Below are 10,899 nucleotides of genomic sequence, written 5' to 3'. Positions count from 1 at the left end.
CTGCTTGTTATCGGTCGGTTCAGGGTATCTAATTCTTCCTGATTTAAGCTAGGAGCATTGTATTTTTCCAGGAACTTATCCATCTTTTCTAGGTTTTCTAGTTTATGTGTGTAAAGGTACTCATAGTAGCCTTGAGAATGATCTTTTGTATTTCAGTGGTGTCAGTTGTAATATCTCCAATGTCATTTCTTAATGATGTTATTTGGATTTTCTTCCCTTCCTTTCTTGGTTAATCTTGCTAATGGTCTATCAATTTTATTTATCTTTTCAAAGAACCAGCTTTTTATTTCATTTATCTTTTGTATTTATTTGTTTCAATTTCATTTAGTTCTGCTCTAATCTTGGTTATTTCCTTTCTTCTGCTGGGTTTGAGTTTGGTTTGTTCTTGTTTCTCTAGTTCCTTGAGTTGTGACCTTCGAATGTCAGTTTGTGCTCTTTTGGACTTTTTGACGTAGGTGTTTAGGGCTATGAACTTTCCTGTTAGCACCACTTTTGCTGTATCCCAGAAGTTTAGATAAATTGTGTCATTATTGTCATTCAGTTCAAATAAATTTTTAATTTCCATCTTGATTTCATTTCTGACCCAGTGCTCATCCAGGAGCAGGTTATTTAATTTCCATGTATGAGAGTTTTGAAGGTTCCTTTTAGAGTTGATTTCTAGTTTCATTCTACTGTGGTTTAAATCTATTGTTTCTTTTTTGACTTTCTGTCTTGATGACTTGTCTAGTACTGTCACTAGAGGGTTGAAGTCCCTCACTATTATTGTGTTGCTGTTATCTCATTTCTTAGGTCTATTAGTAATTGTTTTATAAATTCGGGACCTCCAGTGTTAGGTGCATATACGTTTAGGATTGTGATATTTTCCTGTTGGACAAGGCCTTTTACCATTATATACTGTCCCTCTTTGTCTCTTTTAACTGCTGTTGCTTTAAAGTTTGTTCTGTCTGATATAAGAATAGCTACCCCTGCTTACTTTTGGGGTCCGTTTGCATGAAATGCCTTTTTTTGCCCCTTACTTTAAGTTTATGTGGGTCCTTAGGGGTTACGTGAGTCTCCTGAAGGCAGCAGAGAGTTGGTTGCTGAGTTCTTATCCATTCTGCAGTTCTGTATCTTTTAAGTATAGCATTTAGGCCATTTACATTCAATGTTACTATTGAGATGTGAGGTACCATTCCATTCATTGTGCTATTTGTTGCCTGTATATTTTTGTTTTTGCTTTTTTAATTGTATTTTTGTTTTATAGGTCCTGTGTGATTTATGCCTTAAAGAGGTTCTGTTTTGATGTGTTTCCAGAATTTGTTTCAAGATTTAGAGCTCCTTTTAGCAGTTCTTGTAGTGGTGGATTGGTAGTGATGAATTCTCTCAGCAGTTGTTTGTCTGAAAAAGATTATCTTTCCTTCATATATGATGCTTAGTTTCACTGGATACAAAATTCTTGGCTGCTAATTGTTTTGTTTGAGGAGGCTGAAGATAGGGCCCCAATCCCTTCTAGGGGATGTGGCTTCCTGAAAGCTGAGCTGCAGTGATTGTTATCTCTCTTCTGGGTCTAGCCACCCAGCAAGTCTACCAGGCTCCAGGCTGGTACTGGAAGTTGTCTGCACAGAGTCCTGTGTTGTGAACCATCTATGGGTCTCCCACCTGTGGTTACCAGCATTTGTTCTAGTGGAGGTGGCAGGGGACTTCCCCTTTTCTGTGCTATTTTTTTTCCTCAGAATCTTTAAATGTTACTAATCTGTCATAGTTGTTTTTAATTTGAATATTGAAAATTAAATTTTTAAAATAATGTTTATTTTGTTGAACTATTCTACATGAACTGAATAATATTTTCAGAGAACGTAAAAAATGTATACATTGACAACTAAGCAGTCCCGTTTCTGACTCAGCTTTTTAATGGCATTCATCATTAATAAATTCCTTTGTGCCATTTTTCTGAAAAAGTTATCTGCTTTTTAAAAGTTTAGCTATCTTTAACATGCACACACACATACTCCAAAAAATACAAATAAGAGCATAATTTGCACTGCTCTGAACTTTGCTTTTTCCTTAAAAATATAGCTTAGAGATCTCTCCAAATTAGCACCTATTGAGAACTATTGCTTCATTCTTTTAATGGCTGCATCTTCTGCTATTCTCTGTATGTACTATGAATGATTTAAGCAAATTTCCTACTGGATTACATATTTTTTCTCCTGTTTTTCGCCTATTCTAAATTTGAAGCAATTAACATCTTTGCACATATGTCTTTGCACACATTTGTGAGAAGCTAAGTCAGTCATTTACCCAATTCCTAGGGAGATGGCATTTATACCATGGACTATGGGAATGGGACTCTCTGACAGTGCATACCCTGCAAGGCAGTACTCAGTGACTATAAGACAATTCCCTAAAGGTGAAATGCTAGTTCTAAGTTCAGAGTATTTAAAACATTAATGTATGTTTTTTGATAATCTCATTAACAGTGAGTGTTTGAGAGGGCCTGTTTTCCTCATGGTTCCCATACTGGACAACATGCAATCCTATATGAATGGTGCCCCTGGAGTTCCGTGGCATGTGAAATATGGTGGCCCTGATTTCCAAAAGCTCTATAATCAGACTGAATTAGCAGACTATTAGGTAAAAGCACTCTCTTCTTACATTTTTAATTTGTATTTATGTAATTTTAAAGAAGTTTGAGTATGTTTTTTGTTTTGTCTTTTTTTTTTTTTTTTTTTTTTTTTTTTTTTGAGACAGAGTCTTTCTCCATCGCCTAGGCTGGAGTGCAGTGGTGCGATCTCAGCTCATTGCAACCTCCACCTCCCAGGTTCAGGTGATTCTCTAGCTTCAGCCTCCCAAGTGGCTGGGACTACAGGCACACACCACTGCATCCAGCTAAGTTTTTTGTATTTTTAGTAGAGACAGGGTTTCACCATGTTAGCCAGGCTGGTCTTGAGCTCCTGACCTCGGGTGATCCACCCACCTTGGCCTCTCAAAGTGCTGGGATTACAGGTGTGAGCCACCATGCCCAGCTGAGTATGTTTTTATATGTTTAAAATTTATTTATAGCAGTGTATGAGTGTGTGTGTACCCTTTGTTCTTGCTGTTTGCCTATGTTTTTCCTAATGGATTGTATGTCAACATTCTTTATATGCTAAGCAATTATTAGATTTAAAATAATTATTTGATATTTTAAATATGCTGGATGTAATTTTTCCAGTTGTCATTCTATTAATCATGAAAAATTAAATATAGTTTGAGTTGTCTCTCTTATAAAGGCTTTTCCCATTCTATGTTAATTTTTAAAAATTACCCATGTTTTCTTTTTAATTCTTTTTAGTCTTTGAAGTAATTTATGAAATGGGGCAAATATCCAATTTTTGGGGTTTTTTCCTCCAAATGGTTTATTACTTTCTGATCTTACTTTTCTTCACCATTTGTTAAATAACCCATATTTTCTTACTGACAGGAAGTACCACTTTTGTATGCTAAATTCTTATATATATTTGAGTTTGTAAGTCCTTTGTAACTGAGCCAGGGGAAACCAGACAAAAGATCAGAGTTGTACAAAATAAGGTGGGGGAGGAATAATGGATTAGTTTGGGATATGTTTGTTTGAATTAAATTTAGGACAAATAAATGAAGGGGTCCACTTGGTATTTGGGATTAAAACCAGGCCTTCACAGGAATTTAACTGCAGTCACAAAAGCCTTGTTAAACCCCCCAGTTTGCCCCAAATATTCTGTCTTCAGTTTCCATATGATTTGTCTTTTATGGCAGGGACTTTCAGTCTTGCCACTACTGCAATTTGGAAAAATAAAATGGTTCTAGCTCCAACTGAGTTGGCAGAAAATTTATCCATGGCCTTTTGTATTTGATTTTATGTAAAGGAAAGGTGTGTAGAAATGCACCTTTTATGAATAGACAGTTCTGGTACCACTGCTATTTAAATATAGCCTCATTTAATGGTAATATGGCAGAATTCTTTTGAAGTATGGTTTGGTTTTGACAAAGTTATTTTTATAAAGTTAGCAATGAGACTAGCCTTAAGAAAAAAGTTAGAAACTATGTTTTAGCCAAAAAATCCTATTGATGAAAACATTCCCTAAAGAAACTAAAAAGGTTATTGACTGTTTACTTCCAATTTGGCATTGGACTGAGTGAGAACATTGGCTGATTGCAATCCTCTGAAGCATTTTCATCTTATGTTAACATTTAGCTAAACTTCCTTCTGTATTTCCCCTGTTCATTAAGAGGTACAATTCAATATCCAGCCAATTTGTTCGCATATTCTAATTAGATTGCCACCTGTCCTTTTCACACTTGAGTCTTTCTGGAATGGTTGTGTGCATATTGGGCCAATTGATATTAGTTGTAATTGTATGCAACAGTCAGAATGTGTTGTATTGCTAGATTATAGTTTCTACTTCTACTCAATTTTTTCCAGGCACCTAGATTTTATGACTGTACCTTAGATTCAACCAAGAGGGATATCAATAAAGTTATTTGAACCTAAGCACATAATAGAATAGGATGGAATAAATTATGGACAACACTCTCATCAAATTACCAGAAGGCTGTTCCCCTGGCAAAATATTAGAAGGTTGTGAATAAACTCAGATCCTAGGTTATTTCTTCAAGGCACTGACAAAAGAATATTTTCCGCAGGAGCATGACTGTAGAAACTCAGAAAATGAGTAGAAAATCTTAAATGTAAAATTGTTATACCCACTCTGGGTCGTAATTGGATTTATAGATTTGTAATTTATGTTGGGTCTTCCTTTTTGGATATATAACATGCCTATGCAATGCTAACTGAACACCTATGCATTGGCACACCAGGTCAAGGGGTGTAACTGAACACCTATGCATTGGCACACCAGGTCAAGGAGTGTATATATGGAAATCTTGAAGAGAAAGGTTAAATAAGGCAGCCTACACTTATAATGTTAGGTTGTAGTAGCAGCAGCAGCAGCAGCCAACAGAGGTTGGATCTGCATTCAATAGCACACCTTTAAGATAATTTCTAATCATAAGATTTTATAATCTTAGGAAATGAGATGATTTTCTGAACAAAGTATCCATTGATCAAATGATTGAAACTTCAAACTTTAAAATAACATCAGTATCTGAAAATTGCATTGTCTGGGATTCAAAACTCTCAAATTCTTCATGAGAACTACCACTACTGCAGATTCATGAAACAATTTCTGAGAGTGAATATTTATCAATACAGTGAATACTTTTATTATAACTACTGGGCCTTGGCCTTTGGTGGTCTGGACTAGGCCACAGGGTTTTCTTTGGAGCATCTGGCTGAAGGCTTAGGCTCCAGCAGAACTGGTACAACCTTAGAACTCTTTACCCCCTTGGAACTTCCTCTCAGGTCCATGTTCTCCAGCTTTTTACCACTCCCATAATGAGGAAAAGCCCAGAAAGTCTAATCCAGAGGGAATACCAAGGAAATAAGTCATTTTAACCCGATACCTACAGAGTGATTAAAGAAAGCTGTTCTTTGTGAGTCACTTCCTGCTTGCAAAGTCAAAATTTTCCCCCTCCACACAACTGCTTTCCATTTTGGGGGGCCAGTAATGTTGGCACTGTTTTGGCTGAGTTCTGAGAAACCACTGCTGAGAATTTTACTGGAGCTAACACAGGACTGGAGAGCCATTGGGCAAGCCACAGTCAAAGTTATGAGCAAAATTTAAAGTAGATTTCTAAAAGATACAACACAAACACCACTCCTGAATGCCCAGTGACCAGATCGAGCACAGGTTGAAAGACCAAGACCTGGAGGCCAGGTAGAGCTAAAAATAGAGTAGCAGCTCATTGAGAAAAAGAGACAAGATCCCAAGGAATTGTTTCACGTGTCTTTGAGCATTAGTGGCTGTTGTGGGAAGTCAGGGACCCCAAACGGAGGGACCGGCTGAAGCCATGGCAGAAGAACATAAATTGTGAAGATTTCATGGACATTTATTAGTTCCTCAAATTAATACTTTTATAATTCCTTACACCTGTCTTTACTGCAGTCTCTGAACATAAATTGTGAAGATTTCATGGACACTTATCACTTCCCCAATCAATACCCTTGTGATTTCCTATGCCTGACTTTACTTTAATCTCTTAATCCCATCATCTTCGTAAGCTAAGGAGGATGTATGTCGCCTTAGGACCCTGTGATGATCGCATTAACTGCACAAATTGTTTGTAGAGCATGTGTGTTTGAACAATATGAAATCTGGGCACCTGGAAAAAAGAACAGGATAACAGCAATGTTCAGGGAACGAGAGATAACCTTAAACTCTGACTGCTGGTGAGCTGGGCAGAACAGAGCCATATTTCTCTTCTTTAAAAATCAAATGGGAGAAATATTGCTGAATTCTTTTTCTCAGCAAGGAACATCCCTGAGAAAGAATGCATCCCTGAGGGGAGGCCTCTGAAATGGCTGCTTTGGGGATGGCTGTCTTTTACGGTCATAGCAGAGGGATGAAATAAGCCCGGGTCTCCTGTAGCACTCCCAGGCTTATTAGGATGAGGAAATTCCTGCCTAATAAATTTTGGTCAGACCAGTTGTCTGCTCTCAATCCCTGTCTCCTGATAAGATGTTATCAATGGCAATGCGTGCCCGAAACTTCATTAGCAATTTTAACTTCACCCCGGTCCTGTGGTCTTGTGATCTCGCCCTGCCTCCATTTGCCTTTTGATATCTTATTACCTTGTGAAGAATCATGTGATCTCTGTGACCCACACCCTATTCGTACACTCCATCCCCTTTTGAAAATCACTAATAAAAACTTGCTGGTTTTGCGGCTTGGGGGGCATCACGGAACCTGCCAACATGTGATGTCTCCCCTGGACACCCAGCTTTAAAATTTCTCTGTTTTGTACTCTGTCCCTTTATTTCTCAGACTGGCTGACACTTAGGGAAAATAGAAAAGAACCTACAAGAAATATCGGAGGTGAATTTCGCCTGATAAGTGGCCCATCGTTATTTGTTGTTTGTAGTACATGGGGAGGTTGGACCTAAGGGCAGCCTCAAAGATTTCTGAAATGGCTTCGGGGCCTTTTTCCTGTTGTCTTAACTATTAATTAGCACCTGGTTACCTTTTAGTCATGCTAATCTTCCTAGAAAGTGGTTGTTTCACAGCACACTTGGATTCCTCTCCTGACAATGCGCTTCCCTTTTCTACCACATGGCCAGGCTGCACATTTTCCAAATTTTTGCTCTCTGTTTCTCTTTTAATTATAAATTCCACCTTAGATCATTCTGTTGCTACTATATGTGATCATAAGCTATTAAAAGTAGACACACCACATCATGAATGCTTTACTGCTTAGAAATTTCTTCTACCAAATACCCTAGGTCATCACTCTTAAGTTTGGCCTTCCACAAAGCCCCAGGGTATGGACAAAATACAGCCAAGTTCTTCGCTAAGGTGTAGCATGGGGAACCTTTGCTCTAGTTTCCAGTTGGTTCCTCATGTCTATCTGAGACCTTATCAGCCTGACCTTTGCTGTCCATATTTCTAAAAGCATCTAGGTCACAACCTCTTAGTCTCTAAAAAGTTCCAAGCTTTCCCTCATCTTCCTGTCTTCTGAGCTCTCCAAACATCTGTCTATTACCCAGTTCCAAAGCCTCTTCTGCATTTTATTTCATGGTATCTTTATAGAAATGCCTTATTCTCCAGTACCAATTTTCTGTCTTAGTTTGTTTAGTATTGCTATAAAGGAATGCATGAGGCAGGACAATTCATAAAGAAAAGAGGTTTATTTCACTCACAGTTATGAAAATGGTACAAGAAGCATGGGACTAATATTTGCTTCTGATGAGGGCTTCAGAAAGCTTCCAGTCACAGTGGAAGGTGAAAGGGAGCTGGGTGTGCAGAGATCACATGGTGAGAGAGGAAGCAAGAGAGAGGGAGGAGGTGCCCAGCTCTTTTTAACAACTAGCTCTCATGGGAACTCATAGAATGAGAAGTTACCTACCCCTCCAGGGAGGACATTAATCTATTCATCAGGGATCTGCCCACATTACCCAAACACTTCTCACTTAGGCCCCACTTCCAACATTGGGGATCAAATTTCAACACGAGGCCTGGAACAGTCAAATATCCAAACTGTAGGAGGGGTCAGACCACCTTAAACTGAGACCTAATTCTGCCACTACTCTCTTTGCCTCAGCCTTTACATCTGTAAAATGAAAATACTAATAGTACAAGCCTCAGAGTATTGTTGTGAAGATTAAATAAATTGTATATGTGCAACAAGTGCTTATGATAGTGTTGGTCACATAATAAGCTATAAGTAAGTGTAGATATTATTATTATGTTTTTGGAAAAAAATAAAACCCTACTCTATTCATCTCAATTTTCAAACAAAATGAGTAATAGCAGCTCCACTCTGCCTTGTCATCATAAGCCCAGAGGCCTAGAAAGACAGAATGGTTTGTGGGGTAGCCCTGGGATGCTGGTACCCTGTGTTGCTTTGAGACTCTGCTTCCTACATCCCCACTGCTCTAGCTCCATCTGTGGCTAAAACAGCCTCAGTTACTACTTGGGCTGCTGTTCCAGAGAGCACAAGCCATAAATTTTGGCAGTGTCCATGTGGTGCTTAGTCTACAGTCTCCCAAAATGCAAGAGTGGTGGAGACTTGGAAGCTTCCGTGTAAATTTCAGAGGGTGTATCAAAAAGCCAGGGTGCCTTTTGACAGACAGAATCTTATCACAGGGGTGGAGCCACAGCAAAGAGCCCCTACTAGGGCAATGGCTAGTGGAGTTGTGGGAGCAAGCCCACCATCCTCCAGACTCCAGAATTATAGACCCTCTGGCAGCATGCAACAACAGCCTGGAAAATCCAGAGATATTTTAGTCACAGGCCAACCTGTGAAAGCAGTCATGTGGCCTACCAGTCACACCAGTGTGCCTAGGATATAGGGCATGGAGTCAAAAGAGAGTATATTGGAGTTTTCAGATTTGATGTCTGCCTTGCTGGGTTTCAGACTTACTTGAGGCCTGTTACCCATTTCTTTTTGCCAATTTATCCCTTTTGGAATAGTAGTGTTTACCCAATGCCTGATAATCATTGAATCTTGGAAGAAAAGAATTAGGTTTTTATTTTACAGGCTCATAGTTGGAAGAAACTTTCCCTGAGTCTCATATGAGACTTTGGACTTTGAACTTTTGAGTTGATGTTAGAACAAGTTAAGACTTGGAGCCTGTTTTTTTTTTTTTGTTTTTTTTTTTGTTTTTTTTTGAGACAGAGTCTCACTCTGTTACCCAGGCTGGAGTGCAGTGGCACGATCTTGGTTTATGGCAACATCCAACTCCGGGGTTCAAGCAATTCCTGCGCCTCAGCTACTTGAGTAGATGGGATTACAGGTGTGCACCACCATGCCTGGCTAATTTTTGTATTTTTAGTTGAGATGGGGTTTCACCATGTTGGCCAGTCTGGTTTCAAACTCCTGGCCTCAAGTGATCTGCCCACTTCGGCCTCCCAAAGTGATGGGATTACAGGCATGAGCCATAGACATGGTCTTGAGGACTATTAAAAAAGGATGATTGGCTGGGCTCGGTGGCTCACGCCTATAATCCGAGCACTTTGGGAGGCCGAGGCAGGTGGATCATGAAGTCAGGAGATTTGGACCATCCTGGCTAACACGGTGAAACCCCGTCTCTACTAAAAATACAAAAAATTAGCCGGGCGTGGTGGCAGGCGCCTGTAATCCCAGCTACTCGGGAGGCTGAGGCGGGAGAATGGTGTGAACCCAGGAGGTAGAGGTTGCTGTGAGCACAGATCACACCACTGCACTCCAGCCTGAGTGACAGAGCAAGACTCCATCTCAAAAAAATGAAAAAAAAAAAAAAAAAGAATGATTGTATTTTGTAATAAGAAGAACATGAGATTTGTGGGACTAGGGATAGAATGCTATAATTTGGATGTTTGTTCTCTCCAAATTTCACATGATTCTCAGTGTTGGAGGTGGTGCCTAATGGGAGATGCCTAATATGTTATGAATAGATTAATGCCCTCCCTGGGGGGTAGTGAGTGAGCTCCTGCTCTGTTGGTTCCTTTGAGATCTGATTGTTAAAAAGAGCCTGGCACCTCCCCTCTCACTCTCTTGCTTCCTCTCTCACCATGTGATCTCTGCACACACGACTCCCTTTCGCCTTCTGCCATGAATGGAAGCAGCCTGAGGCTTTTACCAGATGCTCAGTCTTTCAACCAGTAGAATCATGAGTCAAATAAACCTTTGTTCTTTACAAATTATTTAGCCTCCAGTATTCCCTTATAGTAACACAAATGAACTAAGACAGTCCCCCTAAGTCTTTATTCTTCATTGCTGGACTATACTGCCTCATATTCTTTACCAAGGTACTAGAGAGAGCAATCACTTGGAGAATGAGCATTCATAGGTTGATTTTGGTCATCAGTTGTTGGTAACTTTATTGGGTGACTCTGGACAGACTGAAAGAATGAATAATAGTCTTGAAAACCTCCACCACAGAAAAATGTATTTTAAGTAGTTAGGATGGTTCTGTCAGTCATTCATAAAAAGCTCTTTCTAGTTGATTATTGTAGTAGTCCATTTTGCATTGCTATAAAGAAATACCTGAAGCTTGGTAATTTATAAAGAAAAGAGGTTTATTTGGCTCATAGTTCTGTAGGGCGTACAAGGAACATGGCACTGACATCTGCTAAGCTTGTGATGAGGCCTCAGGAAGCTTTTACTTATGGCAGAAGGTAAGATGGCTGGCATGTCATATGGTGGGAGAGGGAGCAAGAGGGTCGGGGGCAGTGCCAGACTATTTTTAACAATCTGATATCATAGTAACTAATATACTTTGAGGTAATTCATTACCTTGAAGATAGCACCAAGCCATACATGAGGGATCCACCCCCATGAAACAAACACCTCCTTCTAGGCTCC

At 39.4% G+C, this 10,899-nt stretch overlaps 1 annotated feature.

The window, feature by feature from the left end:
• Positions 4,734-5,933: an enhancer, noted in NCBI's record as "P300/CBP strongly-dependent group 1 enhancer chr2:151519399-151520598 (GRCh37/hg19 assembly coordinates)". NCBI's record gives its function as "activates an origin of replication core promoter dependent on BRD2, BRD4, P300/CBP, MED14 and CDK7 cofactors, with strong dependence on P300/CBP, by STARR-seq in HCT116 cells {active_cell/tissue: HCT116}" and the evidence as "EXISTENCE:reporter gene assay evidence [ECO:0000049][PMID:35650434]".

The sequence above is a fragment of the Homo sapiens genome, chromosome 2, assembly GCF_000001405.40.
Source record: "Homo sapiens chromosome 2, GRCh38.p14 Primary Assembly".
Taxonomy (NCBI): Eukaryota; Metazoa; Chordata; class Mammalia; order Primates; family Hominidae; genus Homo; species Homo sapiens.
Note: the sequence above shows the minus strand (reverse complement) of the source record. Positions and strands in the feature narration are given on the sequence as shown.